The following is a 26,743-nucleotide window of genomic DNA, read 5'->3' as shown; positions in this document are numbered from 1 at the left end:
AACAGTTCTGCAAGGAGCAGCAACTCCTGGGAGAGTGTGCTGTTCACAGTCCAGGTGAAAGGTGCTCAGGAGCTGTGCTAAGACCCGTTCCTTCATGTTCCCAGGCTTGTAGACAAGCACACATTTGAGAGTGCTCAACAGAAGCCATAAGTGGGGATGGAGGCAAGTTTTAAGACTTGCCTCCCTGCCTCCATCTAGACTCAGATGAGGGCTTGTAAAGAAAAAACAATGTACTTTGTATTCCTTCATTTTCTTTCATATGTTTATTCATCCGTTCTTTCAAATGTACGTTGAGTATCTATCATGTACCAGGCACTTCATCAGGAACTGGAGGTCCACAGATTAATAGGAGACCATCTCTGCTCTCACAGAGCCACAGGCTAGTTAGTGGAGGCGGCCATGACAAAAGCAAAGAAAAAGCAAACTCTCTGCGAATGGAGGCTCTAATAAAGGAATGTTCCAAGGAACAGGTGGAAGAAGGGATTTCGGGGAGTGAGAGGGAGTGACTAGGGAGGACGTCAAAGGATGTGAAGGTTTCAGCTGGGTCTTGAGGGATAAGTAGGAGTTTGTCAGGCACATCAGGAGGAGGTGTTCAAGGGTGTGTGGATGGAGCCAAGGGTATGGAGTGCCAGGAAGGGCACGAGGCTGGAGAAGTAGGATTTATGTGTTGTCTCAGTTTCTATTGCTATGTAACAAGTCATCTCAAAAGTTACTAGCATAAAATAACTATGATTTATTATATCTCAAATTTCTGTAAGCTGTCTGGGCTCGCGGGGGAGGTTCTTCTGCTCTGTGGGGTGTTAGCTAGAGCCATTGCTCCACAGGTGTTGACAGCATTCATCTGGGACCTCAGTTTGGAACTGGAACGCCTCAGGTGGCCTCACTCATGTGTCTGGTGCCTCAGCCTGGGTGGCTGGATTGGCTGGGGACCTGCTGGGGCCTTGTTCCATCAGCCTCTCAGGAGGTGGCTCAGGGCTCCAAGAGAACTAAAGCGGAGTTGCCGAGCCCCTTAAGCTCAAGGTCGGAGCTGGCCCAGCATCTCTTCTGCTGTACTGCTGTTCCTGGACAGAACAAGGTCCGGCTGCTTGTTCTTGCAGTCTAATAATGAGATGTAGACAGACTGGGAAAGAAAGGAGTTTATATTTGTGCAACCAGTTACAGGGACAAGGTTGGAGTAACTCACCAGACCAACTCAAAGTTACAAGTTTTTTTTCTAGTGCTTATGTTTAAGTTCCATGCTGTGTGTGGAATTGCACCTACAAATAGGAGTGTTTCATTCAATCTATATCTAAACAGGAGTGTTTCATTCAGTCTATATCTAATCTTTATTTTTATTTTTTATTTTTAGATGGCGTCTCAGTCCGTCACCCAGGCTGGAGTGTAGTGGCGTGATCTTGGCTCATGGCAACCTCTGCCTCCCGGGCTCAAGCCATTCTCCTACCTCAGCCTCCCGAGTAGCTGTGATTACAGGCACCTGCCACCACACCTGGCTAATTTTTGTATTTTTAGTAGAGATGGGGTTTCTCTGTGTTGGTCAGGCTGGTCTCGAACTCCTGACCTCAGGTGAACCACCCGCCTCGGCCTCCCAAAGTGCTGGGATTACAGGTGTGAACCCCTGCACCCGGCCTAGATCTAATCTTTAATTAGGGTCTAGGGTCCGGAAAGCTTTCTCAAGAGTCTTAGAAACTTTCTTAATCTTCAGTGGGTCCTGGTACGAGGTGCACATATAAAAATGCTATTATTATTTGATCAGACTTTAGGATCTGAGAAAATCCAGGTGGGTCTTCATTTTGATTTCATATTCCAGCCCTCATACTCAGGCACCAGTTTCTCCAGTTCTTTAATGTTTAACTTATGTATTCATTAAAATTATAGTAAAGGATTAGTGGAAACTGAGTGTTCTGGTTGCTAATGGAAACCTGGCCTGCCACGCCATGCTGGTCAAAGCAAGTCACAGGCCAGCTAAGATTCAAGGAGAGCTGAAGGAGGCGTGCTTGTGTTGTGTTGAGTGGCTGAGGTGGTGTGGCTCTGTCACTGCAGCCGACGAAGCTCATGCTGGTGCTTGTGGGCTGACCGAGGTGGGGGTGGGCATGGGAAGGGGGCATAGGCTGCAGAGCTTTGCAGAGGCAGAAGGAGCCCTGTGGCTGACAGCGTGGGGGCCAGGGAGGTGCACAGGACGGCCGTGCCAGGCCCGAGGTTTGGCAACTGCTCTGAAAGCCCCTGTTCTTCACCTCAGCCTTTGCCGGCCCTTGTTAGGTGGCCAAGTGGTGGTATTGCCTGACTTCTCTACTCGCTAGCATCATACCAAGGCCGCTGTGCACAAGGGAAGTGCAGTGGACTGTTACTCTGTCGCCCACGGCCAGTCCACCCTGACTTTCCACTGGCAGCCAGCCTGTCCCGCTCTCGCTCCGTGAGGTTTGAGGGGGCTGACTCCTCACTCTGCAGCAGGTTGGGGGTGCTTAGTTCTGGAGCAGCAGATCTCCTGGTATCCTCAGAGCTCCAGGAATTGGTTCCAGGCTGGGCAGGTGACCCAAGCAGGTCTCGTGAGATTGGGTTGCAGGACTTGGTACACGGAGGGAGGAACCCTCCTGTTCTCTTTCACTGGGGTTGCTTGCCTGGGAGGACAAAAACTTGGAACTGTCGGTGCCTATTTTGTCATTCTGAAGGCTGAGACCATCTGAATGGGAAGTCAACCAGGAGGAGCGCAGTGCTGAAAGGTGGAAAGAGAGAGATGGAAAGAGCGAGTCCTTCTGACATAGATGGGGCCCTGGACCAAGCTGGGTCTGATTATAGATTATCCTTGTGAAGCAGTGAACCCTCTTATTTTGCTTAAGTTACTTCAAGTTGGGTTTCTGTCACTTGCACCCAAGCAAGTGCTAACTGAAGTCCTGGCAAATGTATTTACTTCCTTTCTGTGCCGATTCACTGGAGAGAGGAATTGTGAATTCCGGGGAATGTGGGGCTCTGTACTGCATTGTTGGCTCCTTCCCCATTTTTCCATGTCTATAGTTGTCTTCTGTACACCCTTGGGGTGGGATTAGCCCGGTGGAATGTATTGGAATCATGGGAAAACCTTTCAAAGGTCCAGTTTCTTCACTGCAACTTTTCAGTTACCCTCTACAACCACTGTATCATCTTTTAAAGTTGGCAGTTGAAGACCACAGAATAAATGTCCCTCAACACTTGCTGGCTGGTCGTGAATGTGGACACAGGGCTCCCGAGAGCAGAAACTACCATAGGACATGATGGGAAGAACACAGCACCATAGGGTAAGAAGAATGCTCTACCTGGGACTCAAGGAAAAGCCAGTCGTTTATAAGACAGATTGTATTTTGGTGACTGCAAAGGTTCTAGAAAAGCTGTTCTAAGGAGACGCACAGGGCAGGAAGGCCTTTCTTTCCTTGCCCAATCTTGAGGCAGATCACACACGAAGGGCATCAAGCCATCAAGCCTCGGGTATATTTCTTCCCAGTTAAGCAGTAGAACGTTTCCTGTATCTTTCAAACACATTTTCTCTTAAGATCCCCTGAAGTCCTTCCGAAGCAGTGGGGTGTGTGCAGCCCTAAATAGGGCTTTTACTCGGCAAAGGAAACTAAGCCACTGATACTGAGTCTAAAATAGCCCCAGCCAGGATATCCTGAACTGATTTTCCTGACTGCCAGCTCTCACTTGCGATGGACTGTAACTTCACATCCCAACAGCCCTGTCTGCAGACAGGAACAGGCACTAACAAGGGGGGCTGATCTGGGGGAAAGAGAGCCTGCCAGTGCTGCCCGAGGCCAGGATCGGTGCCAGCCCATCCCATGGGACGGTCACACTTGTTGTGACTTCTCATGGGTGAGGCACATGGGAATGTCCTTAGCTGGTTTCATGATTCATCCTTGGTGTACATATATTTGCTTTAATCATTCATGTCGTATCATTACTTCCTTGAAGATGCGGCCAGTGTTTCTTGTTTTTAAATTAAAATATTTTTTAGAGCAGTTTGAGGTTCACAACAAAATGGAGTGGAAATCACAGAGAGTTCCCATACATCCCCTGCTGGGACTCACACACGGCCTCCCCCACCATCTACGTCCTGCACCAAGTGGCATATTTGTTACACCGATGGTCCTACATAGACACATCATTATCACCCAAAGTCCACAGTTTCTATCAGGGTTCACTCTCGGTGTTATACAAATGTGTGACCTGTGTACACCACCGCAGTGTCATGCAGAGTAGTTTCACTGCCCTAGAATTCCTCTGTGCCTGCCTGTTCACCCCTCTGTCTCTACAACCCCTGGCAACCACTGATCTTTTTATTGTCGCCATAATTTTGCCTTTTCCGGAGTGTTATACAGTTGGACTCATACAGTAGGTAACCTTTTCAGATGGGCTCCTTTCACTTAGTAACATACATTTAAGTTTCCTCCATGTCTTTTCATGGCTTGAAAGCTCATTTCCTTTTAGCACTGAATCATCTCATCATCTAGCTGTATCGCAGTTTATTTATCCATTCACCTGCAAAAGGACATCTTGGTTGCTCCTAAGTTTTGCCAATTATGAACAAAGCTGCTATAAACATCCGTGTGCAGGTTTTTGTGCAGACAGAAGTTTTCAATTCATTTGGCTAAATACCAAGGAGCACGACTGCTGGATCATATGGTAAGAATATGTTTCCTCTTGTAGGAAACTGACAAACTGTCTTCTGAAGTGGCAGTACCATTTTGCATTCCCACCAGCAGTGAATTGAGAGTTCCTATGGTCCACACCCTCACCAGCATTGGTGCTGTTGGTGTTTTGGATTTTAGCCATTCTAATAGGTGCGTAGTGACCAGTGTTTCTTCATAATTATGTTTTGGCCATTATTTCAAGTATTGACTTCGGATGTTGTGGTTCTATCATCTTGAATAAATGAAAAGTGTAACAAAAACAACTCATACATTCATCATTCACTTACTGATTAAAAAAATACTTTTTGAGTGGCTATTATATGCCAGGAATGGGAGATTCTCAGATAAAAGATACTCTCTCTGTACCCTCAAAAAGCTCAGAGGCTACTGGAGGAGGACAGGTGAACAGGTTGACACAGAGTGCACAGGAGGAGAACGCTGCATTTCCGTGAAGCAGAGCCTTAGGATTAGGAGGGGGCTCCACCCCACACAGAAGGGGAGGCTGGACTGGGAGGCAGTAAGGAGATGGCCCACGAGCCTCTCAGGAGGTTGGAGGTTGGAATCACCGAAGGCCTGGGAGACATGAATGGGGCAAGGGCAGGGAGGGGACATGCAGTTCAAGGCAGATGGGGTGGATGTGTGAAGGCACGCGGCGGGGTCGGGGAAGCTGCATTTCAGGGTTATTGGAGTTTGGGTTTGAGGATGAGTGATCAGGGATTCAAACAGGGAAGAGACAGGACTGGGTTTGCTTTTCAGGAGGACCCTGGCCAGTGGGAAGGACAGATGGGACGGAATGACAAGGAAGGGAGGGAACTGGTAGGTGGCAGGTACGGGATGGAGTGACAAGGAAGGGAGGGAACTGGTAGGTGGCAGGTACGGGACGGAGTGACAAGGAAGGGAGGGAACTGGTAGGTGGCAGGTACTGGACGGAGTGACAAGGAAGGGAGGGAACTGGTAGGTGGCAGGTACTGGACGGAGTGACAAGGAAGAGAGGGATCTGGTAGGGTGGCAGGTACGGGACAGAGTGACAAGGAAGGGAGGGAACTGGTAGGGTGGCAGTGGCAGGTACTGGATGGAGTGACAAGGAAGGGAGGGAACTGGTAGGTGGCAGGTACTGGACGGAGTGACAAGGAAGAGAGGGATCTGGTAGGGTGGCAGGTACGGGACGGAGTGACAAGGAAGAGAGGGATCTGGTAGGGTGGCAGGTACGGGACAGAGTGACAAGGAAGGGAGGGAACTGGTAGGGTGGCAGTGGCAGGTACTGGACGGAGTGACAAGGAAGGGAGGGAACTGGTAGGGTGGCAGTGGCAGGTACTGGACAGAGTGACAAGGAAGGGAGGAAACTGGTAGGGTGGTAGGTACGGACGGAGTGTAAGGAAGGGAGGGAACTGGTAGGGTGGTAGGTACGGATGGAGTGTAAGGAAGGGAGGGAACTGGTAGGGTGGCAGTGGCAGGTACCGGACGGAGTGACAAGGAAGGGAGGGAACTGGTAGGGTGGCAGGTATGGGACGGAGTGTAAGGAAGGGAGGGAACTGGTAGGGTGGCAGGTACGGGACAGAGTGTAAGGAAGGGAGGGAACTAGTAGGGTGGCAGGTGAGGGCCTGCAGATGGGGAGGCTCATTCACTCCTTTGCATTCTGCAAATGTTTATGGAGCACAGATTCCTGCCCAGAGAGAGCTTCTGGTCTAGCCAGGGATTATCCCAAATATCCTTTTAGGGAAAATGTGAACCTTATCTCTTTACTCCTCATAGCTGGGACCACAGCTGCTGCCATGCTCATTTTAAAAGGCAGATTTAGGCCAGGCATGGTGGCTCTTGCCTGTAATCCCAGCACTTTGGGAGGCTAAGGCAGACAGATTGCATGAGTTTGAGGCCAGCCCGGGCATCATGGTGAAACCCTGTCTCTACAAAATATACAAAGATCAGCCAGGTGTGGTGTTGTATGCCTGTAGTCCCAGCTCCTTGGGAGGCTGAGGCGGGAGGATCACTTGAGCCTGGGAAGTCAAGGCTGCAGTGAGTTGAGATTGTACCACTGCACTCCAGCCTGGGTGACAGAGCAAGACCCTGTCAGAAATAAAAGGCTGATTTAAGGTTATTTATTCCCCTCTCCTTGAGTGCCAGTGGACAATGAGTCATGAAAGGGCCTTAACCAGGTGGCAGAAGTCGAGAAGGGTGTGGGGGTGGAAGGGGACCCGAGGGCTGGGCTATCCCACTGTGCTGTCACCACCCATGAATCCTGGACAGACAGCAACTGTCTGTCACCGCTCCGACTCCATGGTAACTGCAGTCTGCTCAGCATCTGGTGAATCGTCTGCTCAATATTTCCCCTCGTTGGGTGGCGGTGATGATGGCGAGCTCCTCCTGCTTTAAAATGGAGATGGAAGACAGCCATTTCTTTTCATTCTCCCACTGGCTGCTGCTGCTTTTTTTTTTTTTTTTTTTTTTGGAGCTCAAACTAGCTAGGAGCATTTACACAGCATTGGGCCCAAGCAATTATGATGACCGTGCTAAAAAAAAAAATCCATAAACTAGAGAAAAGTAAGATCCTTCTCGCAAACGCAGGATATTGGTATTTCTTGAACTGGGGTGAGCTCAGTAGGGAAATGACACCCTGATGGGCTTTCTCAAGTTGGAGCCAAGGCTGGCCGGACAAGAACAGCAAACACAGCTTCTGAATGGCGGCAGGGAGCAGTTGGCTCGCCGCAAGGTAGAGTTTCCTCTAAATGAAGATCTTCATCCATTCCGTAAACATTGAGCATCTACTCTGCACCAGGTAGTGCTCGAGGCACTGGGAAACAGATCCCCTGATTCAAGACAAAGTCCTTGTTTTCAAATGGAAGTTACATATTCTATTAGGGAAGACAGAATATAAACAACTTCAACATTGCATATAATATCAGCAAGCAAAAACTGCCATGAAGAGTCAAAAAGCAAAGCAAGGGGCTGGACAGTGCTCAGGAGAGACAGTAACTTGGGCAGAGGGTGTGAGCACGTGGCACTGGGAAGGGGGTTCCAGGCCCCAGGAGCAAGTCGGTGTTGCGGGGGGTGCATGTGAGGCGCAGAGGCTGGAGATGTGGGCAGCAGCCACTTTTGCCCTGGGATGGCCCCACAGACTACTGAGGTAGACACTCCACGTGGCCAGGGACCAAGTGCCTCTTTATGACAATTATGAATGTGACAGTCACACACGTGGTGAGAAAAAGCTTGCTTTTGATAACTACTTGATTTCCAGCTCTGAGTCCCCATGCTCCACGCTGTGTGGGAAGCATCGGTGCAGGCATTTCTAGGTAACCTTGTCTAAGCCATTTCGTTTATTGAGTTAGAGCTTCCCTCTCATCCTGGGCTGTGTGTGCTTCCCTTCATCTGAGAAGACGCCTTGGTCCTTGATCACCTTCAGCTCGGTGGCCTCTGTGGAGAAGGGACCCCCCACGGCCCCCAGGTGCTGCTCACACAGTAGACATCACGGATCTGTGTGTTGGCTCAGAAGATTTTGTGCCTATAGTAGCAACGTGCTGTCCTCTTACAAAAATCAGCCTATTAGGACATTTCCCCAAGAGAAGGAAGGAGCAGTGGTGAGGACCCTTTCCCTGATTTGTACCCAAGGGCGCCTCTGGGCGTGGCTCAGGGAGAAGGAAGGAGCAGTGGGGAGGACCTTTTCCCTGATTTGTACACGAGTGCACCTCTGGGCGTGGCTCAGGGAGAAGGAAGGAGCGGTGGGGAGGACCTTTTCCCTGCTTTGTACACGAGTGCACCTCTGGGCGCGGCTCAGGGCACAGGACACTTCCAGCTGCTCTTCTCTGCCTGTCTGGGGCTTTGGACAGAGCGGCTGGGAGCTGGTGACGGGGCTCCCTCTGTTTCTCGGCCGTTACCTGGCCTGCCTTGATTTCCACTAGCTGCTCTCATGCCAGCTGGGAGACGAGCTGTGTCCTTAGACTCGACCCAAGAGGCACAGTCCCATCCCTCTGCTCTCGGATTCCTCCAAAACCCCTGGAGGGGGCAGGCTTTCCTCTCTGGTTGCCATCTGCCATTGGGAAATCTCCTTCCCTCAGTCCGGACAGAATTCTCAGCTGTTCTCTGGGTGGTGGAAGGAAACTGGCTGCTGGTACCCTTCCAGGTCTTTATTTATACGCAGACTCAAAGGGGCTTTTCTCTTCCTGTTACTGTCTCTGTTCTGGCTTAACAAAAGCCTGCTGGCAGCTCCAGGTAAGAATCAGCTTCTATCTTCTGGGCTGTGCCAGTATCCCCAAGAGGGGCCCCGACTCAGTGAGTGGAGGGTGGTGGCACAGCAAAGAATCGAGGGGGTACCTGGTGCGAATCCTGTAAGGATGACCGTCTGTGACCGTGCTGTCAATCCTCCCAGGCCCAAGTGGCACACACTGTGTACGTCATCAGTGTAAATCCTGCGTTTCCAGCACTCGCCGACGGGCTGACTGCTGCCTGAGTATCAACTGGTCGCTGTTGGGTTATCTGCTGATTTGAGGCTTTTTAATTTGAAGGCTGTTTAGCTCCTTGAGGAGTCAGGAGTCTGGGACAGGGTCAGGTTCACCTGTGGATTCTCAGCACCTGGCCAACACGTGGCCCACTGTGTTACTCAGTACCCACTGAGAAAGACAGAGAAGTGGAGTCTTCCTCCTGCTTGGTTTCCCCATGGTGAGGTCTGGCTAGGCCAACAGTTACACAACCTCGGTGCAAAGCCCTGACGTGGTGATGGATGTAAGTGGCCTTGGCATCCATCCCCCTTGTCTTCCTCCTCTTCCCAGGGACTCCATCACTCTGACTACCTGCCGTCTCTTTCCCTGTCCACGGAAACAGACCAACCTGCCACTCTTTATAGCGGTGGTTCTCAAAGTATGTTCCCAAACCTGTGCCATCGATTTCACCTGGAGCCGTATTAGAAATGCACATTCTCAGGCCTCATCCCAAACCTATGAATCAGAAACTCTGTGGGTGGGCCCAGCAACCTGTGTTCTCTCCAGTCCTCCGGGTGATTCTCATGCCCCAACATTTGAGACCTGCTGCTTTGAAGGACGTTGGAGGCATCGCCTCCGCTCTGCTGCCAACAGGCTTGGGCACAGGGGAGGTGGGAGAAGCCGAGAGTGATGGAGATCGGGGCCCACAGAAGCTACTTCCTTGTCATGTGGGGAGTTCTGAAATGCCCCCTGCGGTCCCGCCTCACTGCCCATTCATATCCTACAGGATGTCCCTGGTTTCTTGTTGTTGGCACGTGACCTTCACGACAGTAGTTTTCAGATCCTGAAGAACCTGAGTTGGAAACAATTCCTTATGCAAGGGGAGCCACACAGGTGTCCACACAGGTCTCCTGGGTGTGCACAACCACAGGGTTCCGAGGCTTCCTCCACTGAGTGTGGCTTAGCTCTTAGTTCACAACCAAGCAATCCGCCATGTCTTCAAACAATGAGAAGACAAGAGCGGTTTTCAAGAAGTGGTGTTGAGAGAATGGATGTGTGGCTCCCACACCTAGCAGGCTGCAGGACCGCCTCCCTCCCCCACTCCAAGCTCAGGGTTTTACCCAAACCCAAGCACCTCTGCTTCTTGCTCTTAGTTAACATCTTACATTGCTGAAGCCTGCAACACCTCTTGAAATTTTTCAGCAACAATGTCTTTATTTCCTTCTTTCTTTCCCTCCCTCCCTCCCTCCCTCCCTTCCTTCCTTCCTTCCTTCCTTCCTCCCTCTCTCTCTTTCTTTCTTTTTTGAGACAGAGTCTCCCTCTATCACCTAGGCTGGAGTGCAGTGGCGTGATCTCGGCTCACTGCAACCTCTGCCTCCTGGGTTCAAGTGATTCTCCTGCCTCAGCCTCCCAAGTAGCTGGGACTACAGGCACACACCACCATGCCCAGCCATTTTTTGTAGCTTTTTTTTTTTTTTTTTTTTTTTTTTTGAGACGGAGTCTCCCTCTGTCGCCAAGGCTGGAGTGCAGTGGCGCGATCTCGGCTCACTGCAACCTCCGCCTCCTGGGTTCACGCCATTCTCCTGCCTCAGGCTCCTGAGTAGCTGGGACTACAGGCGCCCGCCACCACGCCCAGCTAATTTTTTGTATTTTTTTAGTAGAGATGGGGTTTCATCATGTTGGCCAGGATGGTCTCGATCTCCTGAACTCGTGATCTGCCCACCTCGGCCTCCCAAAGTGCTGGGATTACAGGCGTGAGCCACCGCACCCAGCCTTTTTCGTATTCTTAGTAGAGACGGGGTTTCACCATGTTGGCTGGGATGGTCTGGATCTCTTGACCTTGTGATCCGCCTGCCTCAGCCTCCCAAAGACAACAATGTATTTCTTTAGCTAAGGATTTTATCATTTTCCCTAGAAAATTAGGAGGAAAAATCCCAAACAACTCTCTTTATTACTCCTAATTTTAAATATTTCTGAGTATGTTAAATTTGCCAGTGTTCAGAGCAAACCAAAGTATAAGCCATGTTTTCTTCTCTCTTTTTTTTTTTTTTTAAGCTAACAAATTGGTCTAGGTCTAGAATGGCACTTAAGGGAATTAGCTTTATGTTTACAGTGATTTATCCTGTCAGCTGTTCTTCATTTTCCTACTAAGACCTACTTGCCCTCTGCTTCTTGCTCTTTGCTGGTTGATACCATTTTTTAAAAAGGTTGCTAAAGTTGTAATGTCTGGCGACCCCCCAGCCCTCAGATAACATGCTTCTCTACGAGCAAGACCCTCAGTGTCTGCACCACAGCATTTTAGAGGCTCTGGCTTGTGGGTGGGAGAGATGACAGATTTGGGGAATCATTAGGGGACCCTCAGAACACAGTTTGGGAGCAGTTGCCTGTACCAGGGTGCAAAGTTCAGGAGTCCCCAAGGCCACCCTCAATTCTGACACCCAGTGTAAGGTTGGGGCTCCCCACAACCACCCTCAGTTTGATGATTGGCTAGTAGGACTCACAGAACTCCGAAGAGCCTTTCTATGTGCAGTTCTATTACGGTGAAAGTTATCCAGATCAAAGTCAACCAAAGCAAGAGGCACACAGGGTGGAGTCTGAGATGCCGGTGCAGAGCCTCTGGCTGTCCTTTCTCAGAGGGGCTGTGTGGACAGGGCCCATCTCTGCCTGCAATGATGAGACAACAGGCATGGAATAGTGCCAACCAGAAAAGCTCACCCAAGCCTCAGGCCTGGAGTTTTCATTGGGGTGGGTCATGGGGACAGGTTGGCTATCTCTACCACTGGCCTGGGCCTGCAGCCCCTCCAGAGACCAAGCTGATCCTTGGGGCCATAACCCACATGGCCAGCACAGACTGCCTGGCCGGTCCAACCCCCCAGATAAGCAGAGAGACTCTTACCACACAGACAGTTGCAAGGGCTTAAAGATGACTAGCAGAGGACAGAAGCCAGTCCTCTCTAAGGACACGGTTAATCCTCCACTGCACACGAGGCTACTCAAAGCAAGTGCAGCTCGGCACCATGCAACTGTTTGATCCTGGTCCCCGATGAGATAATACAGAGATGGCGTATGTGTTTAGAAACAGCTACGGCAATTGGACAGAGTATGTCTAATACATCTAATCATGAAACAGTGGGACTTTTCGTTACCTATTTAAATTTTTTCCCCAGTAATTTAAAAATTATATTTTATACAAGTACTAATGTGCAATGAATAGGAATTTTTTAAAACAGTGAACACTGTTCTTTATCACTCATGGTTCGAGAAGGGCTGACCTCCACTCTGTGCCATCTCTGTCCCGGCCACCTCTGTGACCTTGGATATGACCTCTCAGCTCTCTGGTTTCCAGGGTTCTCTTTTGTAAGCTGGGGCAGGAATGGGTGAACTGAACAGTTTTTTCAGATTTTCTTTTTGACCATGATAAGAAAATATATCTATGTCATGACCCAGGACCTGTTTCTCCTTGTTCCAGGCAAAGCAGTTTGGCATTTCCTATTCTCATCCTTCTGTTCTCACCCCTTCTATCTAGAAAGAAGACAGTGGTTTGCGCCCACTACACTGGTTTTATGACCCGTGGAGGGCATGGATCTGAGGTGGGACACCCAGTTAGGTGGTCTTTAAAGCGATTTCCTGCCACTGGAGGGACCTTGAACAAGATTCCTGTGTGAGCATCCAGAGCCAGGGCCGGCTGGGCTGAGGTCTACAGATCATGGGCATGTGCAGAAGTCATTATGCTCTTTCTGTGACTCGACTAAGCAGGGAGTTTTCTCCTTTTATTTCTTAGAATAAAAATGTCAAAACCCTGAGATATTCACATGAGGGCATCACTGCTTATCCTCCCCATCGTGGTCAGGGGTGGCCCAGGCCTGTGAGTCAGGAGCAACTCTCCACGTGGGATTCCCAGGGTATGCCTGCGCCCCATGGCGGAGATTGCTCAGTCTGGGGTGACTTGAGGGCATGGTCCTGGCTTTGCTGCTCCCCTGCCTCTGCTCCAGGGCACCCTCATCCTCGCTTGCTGCTGCAAACCGCCTCAGCATCCAGTCTAGAGGCAGATCATATCTGGTGTCTTCTTGTGGGTTATATGGGCACTCATTGGCTTTTACATAAAACACTGAGCGTTGAATGTAGTTCAGCTTGTTACCATGGGTTACAAAAATGGAAGCAGATTCTGTTAAAAAAAAGAAAAAGCTCTTCTGCTCCCCTCTTAGAAAAAGCACCATCCCCCTAAACACTTCCAAGCGACTCGTCTCCTCCCTGGCAGGTGACGGGTGCTGAAGAAGGGGCCTGCGGAAGACCTCTCAGAGCAGATGCTGAGCAGGATGAACTGACAAGGAGGTGTTTGGTGGGAATGAATGCCAGTCCCTTCTTTCTGATCATGCAGAATTTCTAATAATGCAGAAATTAATAATGCAGAATTCAGCCACATCAGCTGGAAGCTCACGTGTCAGTTCCTGAGAACATACAGAACCCCATTGGTCAGGAGGAAGTTCCCATCACAGGGGAGCCGACATGTCCAGAGGTGACCGGCTCCCTTTCATGAGGTTCCTAGTTAACATCCTGTATGTTATGGAAGGGAGGGGTGCCTTGAGAAGCCTGGGGGACAGGCAGAGAGATCCACAACAGCGTTGCAGGTGAACTGGAGGTGGTTTCTGTGCTTCATAAAAGGGCCCTTCACATTTACACGTTCAGTTACCGCTCATCATGCTCTGGGATTGCGTTTTATTGCATAAAGTCAATGTTCACCTAGATCTTAGGAGGACAGCTGCAGAAGGCAAGGAACCAGGAGTCCTGATAGGTAGCAGAGCATCAGCTGACAGGGCCTCACCGTGGCCTCAGCACTGCCGACCTGCGGTTGTTATCCAGGCACATGGTGAACCCTATTTGGCATTTCCATGAGAAGATGGGTTGGAAACAACCCTTGGTGGCCTCTGAAGCCATCTGTTCTCATTATCTCCAGAAAGTGTGTTTTCTAGCACAGCTGCCACACTGACCCAACTGATTAAATTTCAATCCCAGCTACTCGGGAGGCCGAGGCAGGAGAATTGCTTGAACCTGGGAGGTGGAGGTTGCAGTGAGCCGAGACGGGGCCTTTGCACTTTAGCCTGGACGGCAAAAGGGAAACTCCATCACAAAAAAAAAAATTTTTTTTTTTTCAATCCTCAGAGTAGATCTCAGAAGATACAGATGCCGCAGGCCAGGTGCAGTGGCTCACGCCTGTAATCCCAACTCTTTGTGAGGCCAAGGCTGGTGGATCACCTGAGATCAGGAGTTCAAGACCAGCCTGGCCAACATGGTGAAACCCTGTTTCCACTAAAAGTACAAAAATTAGCCGGTGTGGTGGCACACGTCTGTAGTCCCAGCTACTTGGGAGACTGAGGCAGGGAAATCGCTTGAACCCGGGAGGCAGATGTTGCAATGAGCTGAGATTGCACCATTGCACTCCAGCCTGGGCAACAGAGTGAGAGCGAGACTCTGTCTCAAAAAACAAAACAAAACAAAAAAAACCTTTGCTTGTCATCATCTCCCTGGTAGCTTTCCAGTTGTGTTGATGAGTTCAAGGAAAGCTTTCTAAAAGGCTTCACAAAATAATAATAATTTTTTTCAACATGTGTCACCTAGGCATATTTCAAAGCATACTGCATGTTTTGATCCAGGATATTAACAACAAAAATGTGTCAGTCCCCACTGAGTCATCCATGTTTACTCAAGTTGGATTTAGCTGCAGAGTTATCTAGAATTTCTGGCAGAAAATCATCTCAGCTGAAATTCCGATAGGCTTTCAAGAAAAAGGAAATGTTCGTTCCTTAAGAGATCCTTAAATACATTATAAGGGAGATTTGAAAGATTTTGAAATCTCTGGAATTAGAAAATTTAAGGCTTTCTTTGTTTTCTTGTTTGTTTGTAGAGATTTTAAAGAAATCAGATGAGCTCCATGTTTCTTAAGATGGATTTAATCTATCTGGTAGTGAGGTAGAAATAGCAGTGGCTGGGGAGTCCATTCTCCAGGGGGTTCTGGGGCTGGAGGGTCTTAGACCCAGGCTCAGGGCTCAGAACTCAAAGAAGTTTAGGGGTTCAGGAATGCTTAGGGTTGCTTAGGTCCTAGGACTATTAATATTATTTCAGGTAAACTATTTTGTGAACTGGTGTAGGGTCTAAAAGCCATTTACTATTTTTGTTTCCATGGGAAAAATATATTCCAAGTTCCAAGCCAATTTATGGAATGTAATCTGTTGGTAGAGAGTATGCGTCATCTATTTTGCCAGAGAAAATGCAGTATGAACATTTCACATGTGTTATAAAACATATATGTATTACAGCTTATAGTACAAAGAGCAATGCCCATTACTCAGAACAAATACTATGTCACATGTCCAACAGGTGTTTGTTAATGGAACTGGCTAATAGGTTTTTATTTTAAAATTATTTTTAAAGCATGCAATCTGCAAATAATCCAAGTTATCCTACTATTGATTATATATATATATATATTTATTATTATTATTTTTTTTTTGAGATGGAGTCTTACTTTTGTCTCCCAGGCTGGAGTGCAGTGGCGTGATCTTGGCTCACGACAACCTCCGCCTCCTAGGTTCAAGCGATTCTCTTGTCTCAGCCTCCCAAGTAGCTGGGACTACAGATACATGCCACCACACCCAACTAATTTTGGAATTTTTAGTAGAGACAGAGTTTCACCATGTTGGCCAGGCTGGTCTCGAACTCCTGACCTCAGGTGATCCGCCCACCCTGGCCTCCCAAAGTGCTGGAATTACAGGCGTGAGCCACTGCGCCCAGCCAGATAATATATTTTTGAAAGTTCCACTATTCTGTTTTTCTATTAGAATTACATGAAATCTTAATTGCCTTAAGACCCCAATTTTATCCCAAATTATCCACAAGAAGAGACAGGGAGTGTCAGATGGCTTGCAAAGGTGAGTGAGGAGGTCTCATAGCACCGGGTAGCACTGGCTCCTGGCTCAGCTGAACTCCACACAGGGACTCACGTCACAGCAGCAGCCTTCCCTCACAGTTGGACATAGAGGGGAGTATAAGGGAGGGGGGCTTTTCTCTGAGGCCCTCAGGTGTCAGCATGAGGTCCCTGGGGGAGTTTGGGTCCTCAATGCCTTAGACGTTGTCTCTGTTACCCTCGTCACCTCCACCTCCCCCTGAGGTCCCTGGCGGAGTTTGGGTCCTCAATGCCTTAGAGGCTGTTTCTGTTACCCTCATCGCCTCTTCCTCCCCCTTCTCGAGCACTGACGATCCCCGGTGGTGCAGAAGCCTGCCTGGCACTGTGCCACAGCAAAAACCCTGGAGCCATCACGGTGCTTTCAGGCGTTACTGGGAGACAGGACATTCACATGAAGACAGAAACTACAGTAGGTGGTCTAGAAAAAGGATGAAATGTGTGAGGGAAATGTTCTGGGTTAGTGGTGATGTCTGCACAACCTTGCGACTATACTAAAAACACGGAATTGTACATTTTTAAAGGGCTAATCTCATGGTATGTGAATTATATCTCAATTTTGAAGAAATATGTGACGGAGCAAGTATTTGAGGAATTCAGAGGAAAGGGGGCCCTCAACGCCTATGAAACGTGTTAGTAATGGGGAGGCAGGAAGGACTTAGACAAGCGGAGAGAGGCAGAGAGGGGCAGAGGGAGACGCGGAGGGTGGGAAGCGCCTGGTGGGTTCTGCCAGGGAGGGAGGAGGCTGAATTGCCAGAGAGGGAGACAGGGAGAAGGGAAAAGAAGAATGGAAACCATTTGGGGCCAGATTATGGAAGCTTTAGATGCTGGTCTGAGGGGCACATGGGGAAGAAAAAGCTGTGGATGATCTGACACCTGGGATCTGACATGGGCCTGGCGATGGCTGGGAAGACACGTGCCTGGGTTGTACGGGATGGGCAGGAACAGGAACATTTGGCAGGAGGAGAGCTCTTCGCAGCAATCCTAACATTTTGGGTTAGATGGTGAAGGTGGCGATAAAGTGAAGAAGAAGGAAAGATTTTGTGGATCCTGTAGAGGAAGAGTGACAGGGCTTGAGGCCCGATTGGATCTACAGAGTAAGGAAATCAAAGGCCTCTCCAGAGTTGTAAGCTTGGGGCTCTCCTGGGGAAGCTTCAACTAAAATAAAGGCCTGTTTGGGAAGAAAGATGTTGAATCCAATCTCAAGCATTTGGGTTTGGGGCAGTGATGGGATATGTAAGTGGGAACATGGAGCCAAGCATACCACAGCGAGCCCAGAAGCGGTCGCATTTGTGGCCAAGGAAAGTAAGGCCCATGGGCTCTGTGACCTGCCTGAGGTTACAGAACTAGCTGCAGGCAAGCTGGAGTCAGATTCCTGGCTAAATCTCCTTTTGTCTAGCAAGCAGCTGGTTCAGCTGTGGGGCTAATCCTTGGGAGGGTGATGGGTGCTGGAGAGTTGAGTCCACAGAAGAGGCAGGAGTAGAAGGCACTGGAGTGGTGAAGTCTCTGCAGGGGAATAGAGGAGACAGCAAAGGCCAAAGGGCAGGGAAACGAGCCTTGCCATGTGTCCTCATTTGTGGGATGTGAGAAGGAAGCAGATTGCAAGCAGATGTCAGCTGGAATAAAGACAGCAGTGTCACTGAGGCCAAAGGGAGAGAGCATTGCCCACAAGCATTAGAGATGCCCAACTGCATGCTTGTCTGCCTCCTGCAATACAGCCAGCTGCACGGATCCAGGGGCATGGGGTGCTCAACCATGTCAGATGCTTCAGGGATGTTAAAGAGAATGCAGCCAGGCCACAGGATTTGCCACTGGAGATCATGGAGAGTGCATTTCAGAAGCATGCAGTGAAGGGAAGCTGACAGAGAGTGGGAAGTGAGGAAATGGAAGACCGGAGGGCAAGCCACTCTTGAGACATTTGGCAATGAGAAGAATGAGCGCTTAAAGATGAACAGAGAGACAAGCCAATGAGAGGAATGAGTGCTTAAAGATGAACAGAGAGACAAGCCAATGAGAGGAATGAGTGCTTGAAGATGAACAGAGAGACAAGCCAATGAGAGGAACGAGTGCTTGAAGATGAACAGAGAGACAAGCCAATGAGAGGAATGAGCACTTAAAGATGAATAGAGAGACAAGGAAGATGAGTTTTTTTTGTTGTTTTCAAAGTAGCAGTATGGTATGGTGGCCTACGGAAACAACTGGTGGGAAGAAACTGAAGATGCAAGAGATCATAAAAGAACTGGGTCCTGGGTCATGGAGGAGAGAAGGAGCTGAGTTCTGGGTCATAGAGGAGAGAAGGGGGTGGGTCCTGGGTCATGGAGGAGAGAAGGGTCTGGGTCCTGGGTCATGGAGGAGAGAAGGGGCTGGGTCCCGGGGTCATGGAGTAGAGAAGAGGCTGAATCCCAGGGTCATGGAGGAGAGAAGGGGCTGGGTCCCGTGTCATGGAGGAGAGAAGGGGCTGGGTCCCGTGTCATGGAGGAGAGAAGGGGCTGGGTCCTGGGTCACGGAGGAGAGAAGGGGCTGGGTCCTGGGTCATGCAGGAGATGGGGTCAAGCCTACTTTAGCAGGTAGGAATGCTCTCTAAAGGGAGAGAACAGTAGATGGATGAGGCAGAACTTTTTAGTGGGGAAGAGAAGGATGACAGAGCTCTAGCTGGAGGGTGTCACTCTTGCACTAATGGAGGAGATGGAATTTTCTATTGTGATTATCTAGTGAATGCTCATTTTCCCCTTCTTCCTGACCAACAGACCTCCAATATTATTTGGAGCAGGAATGTGCCCAGCTAAAACACCAAGCTTCCCACCCTCCTTTTTAGCCAGCAGTGGTTATGTGACTTAATTTCAATCATGGAAAAATCATAGATTGGGGTTTCTGGGAATGCTCTTTAAAGGGAGCAGTCATAAGTGTCTGTACCCATTTTGCTCCTCCCCGTTTCTCCTTCTTTCAGCTTACAATGCCACACAGACCTCCAGAATAGGTGGAGGGAACCAGGAGGAAAAGAAATTCATTTGAAAGTCTCTCTCTTTTGGAAAAGAATATGCTAGACTCATATGTACAGCTCATACGTACTTAATAGAAAACCTAAGGATATGGCTTTGATGGCTGGCACTGTAGCAGCTGTATTGTGACCATGAAGTGACCTTGAGGATGAGAGCCAGTGCTAAGAATGGCAGAACAGAGAGAAGGAAGCCAGGACATTGATGACACTGCAGAGCCACCACAATGTCCCGGGATTGCCTTACCTCTGCACTTGTTTTGCATACAGAAAAGACATTTCTTTTCCTAAGCTGCTGTGATTTGGGGATTTTGTTATGAGTAGCCAAGCACAGTTCCTCTCTGGTGAGGCTGGTGTGTGTGTGCCCACGCACGTGTGCATGTGTTAAAAGGTGGCATATAGAACATGCTGGATTAGGGACTTTAAATTTCTGCATTGCTCTAAAGTAGAATTGAAACTTGAGAACCACGTCTGAGGAAAGCAATCTGGGTATCTACGATCAGAAAACCCTCATCCTTATACAGATGGGTGTCCACAACGTGCATATTCACTGAGTGCAAGTCGATTCCTCCCTTCCCCACACATCTTGTTGACCAAGACGATATCTACCTTATAAAGGCTGAAATTTACATTTTATGCCATTAGCAGTTTTTATTGAAGGAGAAAAATTTTTTAATTCATCTCAGGTTTAAGATAAATTCTGCAAACATTGATTAAAACATGAAAGGCACTTAAATAAGCATACGTATCTCTGAAAACATGAAATGTTATGTACATGTGTTCACCATTGTTTGGATTTAGAGCTTTGAATTCACTAAGAGTTTAAAATGCTTTTTTTTTTTTCCATGCCAAAACGTTTGACTGTGAAATATCAACCCAGAATGCTCTGGGAAAAAGTTAGCAAGGCTTCAACCGTTTTTTTTTTTTTTTTTAATTGCAGGCTAAAACCATCTCTATTCATATAGAACCCAGAAAGCATGTCTCCTTGGACATGCCATGTGGCCTCTCGGTTTCACCAGGCATCTTGAAACATCGAGGGCAAGTAAGAGAGTTGTTCATTCATACCTTTATCACCAATATCAAGTTTCTTTTAAAAATTCAACACTTCCTGGGTAGAAAAGTCTCTGCAATAGCACAAGATGCTTGTCTGCTTTTCAATCCATTCTGTGTGTAATTCCTGGGGTTTATGAGATCAAAAAATAACTCCAGTTGTGGCTATTTATCTAGTTTTGTGGCAGCTGCAAATTCGGTTGCTCCAGAAACCATCTAATCTTCAATCTCCCAACTACTTTTAATGGCTGGATTAATGGACTAACACCTTACATGTGAAAATCCATCTTGGCTCTATTATCAGGACCATGGACAATGGGCAGATGGACAGAGGATTTACTGATTTACAAACTATTACCATCTTTGACATTTATTTGAAAAAAAAAAAGACGCTTCAGATCGTTTAATATTTCAATGATAACTTAGTTTTATGAGAGAGAGAGACGTTTTAAGGGAACAAATGAGAGGCAGTTTTTTTTTTTTTTTTTTTTTAAATGAGGTACCTTGGAAAATAGCATACAACTCCACATGCAGACCTCCAAAATAGGTGGAGGGGACCAAGAGGAATAGGAATTCATTTGAAAGTCTCTCTCTTTTGGACAAGAATATGCTAGACTCCCACAGCTCATGTGTACTTGATAGAAAATGTAAACATCAATTTGATTTCGGCTCAGCTTCAAAACAGTAGTAAGGCATCAATTAGAAAAGAGTATTTAATATTTGTTCTCCTTTATTCTTTTCTTACCTGGTCAAGAACTAAATGAACTCAATGTATTCTTGTGGATGGATGAAGGGCAGCTCCTTCTGGGAAGATTCCTTATAATATCAACGCAAACCCCGATCCCTTCTGGTGAACTTAAGACCCTAAGCCGAGGCTGAGAAGCAGTTGGTTCCTGGCATGAAGAGGATGGTTGTAGGCTGAGGTCTGAAGGGAGAAGTCAGGTTACAGAGAAGCGTTTGCTGCAGGGTAGTCAGGTGGGCAGAGACCTGAGACCCTTGGGGAGTAGCCCGCCAGGCTGTGCCCTTCAAAGTCTCTGACCAGTTCTGGTTCCAGCATTTTCTGGGCGATGCCATCAGAAGCCCCTGTGTCAAGGACACCTACTGCCAATTTTGGCAAGTTCATTTTTCTTGCTGTTGAGTCAGACAAGAAGGCCTAGGCCCAGGAGGTGAAGAGCTTAGGGGTTTTCAAAGCCACAGAAGGCCTGGCCCATCAGGTCTCCGCAGGAACATGGCTCATAAAATGGGTTTGCTCCTCACTTGGAACCACAGCTGGCAATCCTAGACAGAGCCGGTGAAGGCCGCAGTAAGCTGGGGGGTGGCGTGGAACTCTGCAAAGACTCCTCCCTTGTGCCATTCTGGGCCAGAACAGAGATTTCGCATTTTGCTGGCTTAGGGTGGGGACATGGCATTGTCCTCACAGGCTGAAATCATCACATTTGAAAGCTGGAACGAGCATCTTTTGGTTGGGCATAACGCAACTGCTGGGCCAATTTCTGCAGAACGGAGTGACAGGTCACTGTGCCCTCCTGGATGCAGTCTGTCTGCCACCTTCCTGCAGCATCCCCCTGCTTCCTGGGGCCCTCCCGGATGCAGGCTTTGTGCCGCCTTCCTGCAGCATCCCCACTTCCTGGGGCCCTCCTGGATGCAGGCTGTCTGCCACCTTCCTGCAGCATCCGCCTGCTTCCTGGGGACCAGGGCACTCACGCTCAGTTCAGCCTTCAAGTGCCGGGAAGCCTGTGGTTCCCTGGAGCACTCCTGGGAGAACGAACGCAGATGAATTTTTAAACAGCAGAATGAGTGTGTGTTTGTGTGTGTTTGATAATGGTCCAAGCTTTAATAGCATGGTAAAATATTTATTTTACTTTTTATAGCTAGCATGTAATCAATCTCTAACACACTGAAAGAAGTTAGAAACACCAACGTCTACTCAGCCACAGCTAGAAGGAACCATTCAACATTTATAAACATAAGTATTTATATTTATGTACATGTCACATATATGTTCGTGGGAAATGCAGAGCCATCACCTCGCCAGGTGAGCTGCCCCTCCGACCATCCCTCCTGACAAACAGAAGTGGGCGCCCCAGGGGGCATCATCGCTCATTCCTCTGATGCTGGGTTTCTTTTTCAAGCCACAGAGGACAGGGCTGTGGGCTTCTCTCTGGTTTTGGTTTTTAAGACATTAATTATCTAGCAAATTGGCCCATTCAAGTTAATCTCTCTCTTGACCCTGAATAGCCTTGATTCACTTCACCAAAATTCCCAGTCCCCTATTGGATAAATGATGCCAAGTGTGTGCCAGGGACAGGGTTGGAGGTGGGGAAATTGATAATAAATATTAAGTAAATATCCATTATGTGAAGACAAGTGAGTCGTGATCCTGGCTTCTGGGAATTTTTCACAGTGAGGTGGGAAGAAGGGCTGGTCACAGGAGAGTGGCAACCACTGAGTTAGGAAATGTTAGAAGCGGGAGGCCTCTGAAGACCATGATCTTGCTTTCCAGGGGAATGAGCTGAGAATGGACTGGGCCACACGTGGGACCGGAGTGAGGGCTAAGCCGGATTCGCGGTCACCCATGGAGCACCGTTCTCATCAGGGCCAACTCCTTCCTGGGGCCTCTGGGGAGCAGGTGGAAGAAAGCAAGGAGCAGAGACGGTTTGGGAAGTTGTGGAAGCTCCTTTGTGGGGCTGTCACTTTGGGCTCACAGGTAGCGTGGACAAGGAGAATCCCTGTGAGTTGGTGCCTGTGAGCGTGTGCGGTTGTGTAAGGAGGGCACTGCCCCATGAATTACACATTGCAGGTGGGTACAAGTAGTTAGGTGGTTCAGAAAATCAAAAATGGCTACATAGAATGGACCTATTCCATTTTCTATACGTGCATGCAGCATGACAATAAAGATGGCTCGAAGACATCACAGTGCAAGAACTCTGCAGGCCCTTTCAGCATGAATTATTTTGTGACCTGTGAATTGCCTTCATTCCAAATAAAACTTGTGTGCTTTTCTTTTTCCTATCTTCTTTTCTTTTATATAAAATGGCAACTCTTTCTCAGGAGTAATAGCCTTTTTCCATAAATGCAAATCACTTGGGTTACTTGTATCATTGGTCAATGTGTCTTGTCTTTCATATGGTTATAAGGAGCAAGGCCATGGCTTTGAACTTGAGTAGCTTTAGCTGTTAGATTTATGGTCTGGAAAGAAGCCAGGAGAGGAGTTGCTGTGTCCCCTGTGGCTGCCCCCATAGTGACACACTCCCTAAGTCCAGAGCCAGTTCGTTCCCTTCTAGGTGACCAATGAAAGTGAACAAAGTGGTCATTTTCTTAATTTCATTCTGATCAGTGTCTAGGAAGGATGATGACCTACATGATCTCAGCTTAGACTGTAAGCCGATTTCTCCTCCTCATTTTCTGATACCTTTACTAGGACCTCAAGTTGCACTTCTGGGATTGAGTGACACGTTAACACAGAAGGAAGCCCAGAAGACGCCCGACAGAACCTTCTCCCTGAGCGTCCCCTCCCCTCTCCCTACTTCCGATCAACTGTTGCACGGCAAACTGCAAACGTAGAGCAAATTCCACTAAGATGGTGTCAAAAAGAGATAATTAAAGAAAATAAATGATGGAAAACTTGCCTCTTATCTAAGAAATTATTCTATAAATATCTCCCAGTTCAAAGATTTGACTTTTGGTTGTCTGGGGACCATTCCTCGCTAGGGACATTTCAAGAAAAACTCTCCCCATCTGGATGACTTTGTTTTCATTTATGCTATTAAGGATAACCGTACGCAGATCCAAAATAACAGAGGACGTCATTTTATTGGCTGTCCACGGGAAGTTTCATCACACACGGAGGTGAAGACTGTGGGGGTTGTGGCACACAATATCTCAACACGAGACCTCATCGAGCGGCCAAACAGAAGGTGAAGTGACACCCGACACGACGGAACCCCAGCCGCCCTCTGCAGCCCCGGTGCCACCTCTCCACAGACGCCTCAGCCCAGTAAGCTGAGTGATGACACTGTCCATTAGTCTCAGTTCGTTGCACTGTCTTCCAACAAAACAGCACTTGAAAATTCACAAAATTAAAAAAAGAAAAAGAAAGCAGCACTTCCTTGGAAATAGCAACACCACTGTAACACAGACGGCAGCGTGGCATGCAGATCCACACCTGGTCGGTTTTTTCCCTTTAGGATTTTTTTTTTTTTTAATTAACAAATGGAATGGCAGGTCTGTTTCAAATATTAGTAGCATAACACATAAGTGCAATTGCAGTCTGGCCACAAGCGTCAGAAGCCTTCCGTGTGTCTGTCACAAGGGCGGGCAGACACACTCCGATTCCACCCCTGGAGGGTCACCAAAAGAAAGCAGCCACTTCTCTATTTCCATTGTTGTCAAAGCACTCAGGTTGGGGAAGAAAATTCAAATGAAACCAAGCTCTCAGCATCCGGGGCCAGCCACCCTGTGCCATCCTAAGTGGTCTCTGTACCCCAGACCTGGGGCTGTCATCTCCACCGTGGCATTGGCTGGGAAAGTCGCTGTGGGACACACCCCTCCGCTCACTCCTGCTGCCCATGGAGGAGCCTCTGGTGTCCCCCGGCCTGGGGCCATGTGGGTCACACGGAGCTGAGCTTCACCAGGCCGCGCACAGAGTCCTCATGCAGGGAGTCCTGGCTGGCCAGGCCCAGCACGTGCATGGTGCGGCTGTGCGCCAGGGGGCTGCCCGCCGCCAGTAGCCTGGGGGGCGAGGGCGCCTCATCGGGCGTCAGGAACTGGTGGCCCATGTGCTCATCTTTCCGGGGCATCACGTCCGCGAGCGTGGCCTCGGCGAGGTTGGGCATGGAGGCGGGCGGTGTGGGCGGGCCCAGTGTGAGGCTGGCGCAGGGCGTGCCCAGGCCAGGCTTCCCGGGCAGGTGCAGCTCGTCGCTGGTGAGGCTGGGCTCGCTCTGCAGCAGGGGCGTGGCTGCAGCCTGCAAAACGAATTTGGTGCTCTGAATGCACTGGTCTTGGTCGCACTGGAGAGCGGGAGGCGCCAGCAAAGAGAAGGTGGAGAGGAGGGGGCAGAGGTGGGGAGGGACAGGGATGGGGACAGGGCACGGGCGGGGAGGGTGGGGTGCGAGAAGAGAGAAACCGTTAGTGACACCTCAGTCAGCCAGGCAGGGAGCGCCTACAGTGGTCCAGGTGCATTGGGAGAGACACCCAGCGCCTGGTGCTGCAATTGCCTCTGCTCAAATGAAGTCACCACGGGTGCCCAGTCATAACATGCAGCCACTGGTTATGAAGCCAGTGGTCTTGGTTCCCAATTTAAAGGACATAATTAAAAAAATCTCTTGGACAGAGTCACAGGCCATCTACAGCAGTGGGTGGCTGTTTCTTGTATGCTGAAAACCATTTTTTAAACCACATTGTTTTAAAAATACAGGAGTTGTACACCCATGTTCATAGCAATGTTATTGATAGTAAGTCAAAAGTCAAAAGTGACTCAAGTGTCCACTGATGGATGACAGCAGGGACAAGGTGCGGTGTAGACACACAGTGTTACTGATTCAGCCTTAAAAAGGAAGTGCATTCGGACACATCCACGAGATGGGTGGACCTTGAGGAAAGCATGCTAAGTGAAACAAGCCAGTCACAAAAAGACGAATAACTGTGTGATTCCACTCAAACAAGGTCCCTGGAGGGTCATGTTCTTAGAGAGAAGGAAGAATGGTGGCTGCTGGGGCGGGAGGAAGAGGGAGCTGGTGTTTAAGGCATGCAGAGTTCCAGCCATGGAAGATGAAGAAGCCCTGGAGATGGGTGGTAGTGGTGGTTGCAGAACAACATCAACGGACTTAATACTACTGAACTTATACTTACAAATGGTTAAAGTGGCAAATATTATGCCATGTCTATTTTACCACCAAAAAAAGAAAAGACTGTTTGGTAAAAGCCTAGAATTCCCCACTGCTAAATTTCCAACAGCTTCAAGAGCCATTCCCGAAGCCTCTGTGGTCTGAGAATGCCCACGTTTGAGAAGACGTTTCCTATTCTTCCACGCGTTCTTAAGTCACATGATATCTGCCTCGTGTCCTCTGTTTCCCTTCGCTCACTGGGCAAAGAAGATAGTGTAAGCACATTTCCAGGCTATGCGACAGGCACCCCTGATAGCTCCGCAAACCCTCTCCTTGAACTATGGGCAAGTTTCAGAACAGCTAGAAGAGACTTAACAGGACTTATAAATCTTCAACTTGAGCCTGTGCGGTACCTTCTCAGTGAGATTCAGGAGCAGTGTTTTGATGGGAAGGAGGAACAGACATGGATATTAGGTGAGCAAATCGGGACTCTGTGCTCAAGCTATAAAGTGGCTGCTCCACTTCACTTCTGCAGGAGTTCTTAGAATGAGCCTGTTCCCCTCTTCACAAATGAAGACCCTGGGGCACAGATGGGTTGGACAGCTCGATCAAGACCTTACAGATGAAAGTAAGGGATGGATCTAGGATTTGGAGCTGGGGTAGACCTCTTTCCACTATTCCACATTGGACACAGCAGATGCTTAATAAATGTTATTTGGCTTATTATCTCCTCCTCTTTATCAGAAGGCTAGAGTTACTGAAGAACCACTCACCAATGGCTTTGTGATTTAGGTGCTCCGACCTCTTCCTGATAAGAGACTCGCACAGAGCTGCCATTGCTCATACCCCTG

The 26,743-nt window shown here is 48.7% G+C and overlaps 1 protein-coding gene across 6 annotated transcripts in view, besides 1 other annotated feature; it reads right to left on the bottom strand.

Moving 5' to 3' along the window:
- Positions 8,408-8,909: an enhancer, noted in NCBI's record as "H3K4me1 hESC enhancer chr6:158109923-158110424 (GRCh37/hg19 assembly coordinates)". NCBI's record gives its function as "activates a minimal SCP1, AML or CMV promoter by ChIP-STARR-seq in naive and primed H9 embryonic stem cells {active_cell/tissue: H9 hESC(naive and primed)}" and the evidence as "EXISTENCE:reporter gene assay evidence [ECO:0000049][PMID:30033119]".
- The window catches only part of ZDHHC14 (zDHHC palmitoyltransferase 14), a 296,968-nt gene continuing 289,867 nt past the window's right edge, over positions 19,643-26,743 (bottom strand). For 3 of the 6 annotated variants that reach the window (NM_153746.2, XM_017011309.2, XM_047419368.1), the window contains exon 9: positions 23,862-25,031. In NM_153746.2, the coding sequence (NP_714968.1) occupies positions 24,678-25,031 (354 nt within the window). In that variant the 3' untranslated portion in view covers positions 23,862-24,677. Of the gene's footprint in view, positions 25,077-26,743 lie in introns of all 6 variants that reach the window. The other 3 variants (XM_047419366.1, XM_017011308.2, NM_024630.3) reach the window with 2 other exon arrangements.

Source organism: Homo sapiens, chromosome 6 (genome assembly GCF_000001405.40).
Source record: "Homo sapiens chromosome 6, GRCh38.p14 Primary Assembly".
NCBI lineage: Eukaryota > Metazoa > Chordata > Mammalia > Primates > Hominidae > Homo > Homo sapiens.
The sequence above is the reverse complement of the archived record's forward strand: the minus strand, read 5'-3'. Positions and strand labels throughout refer to the sequence as shown.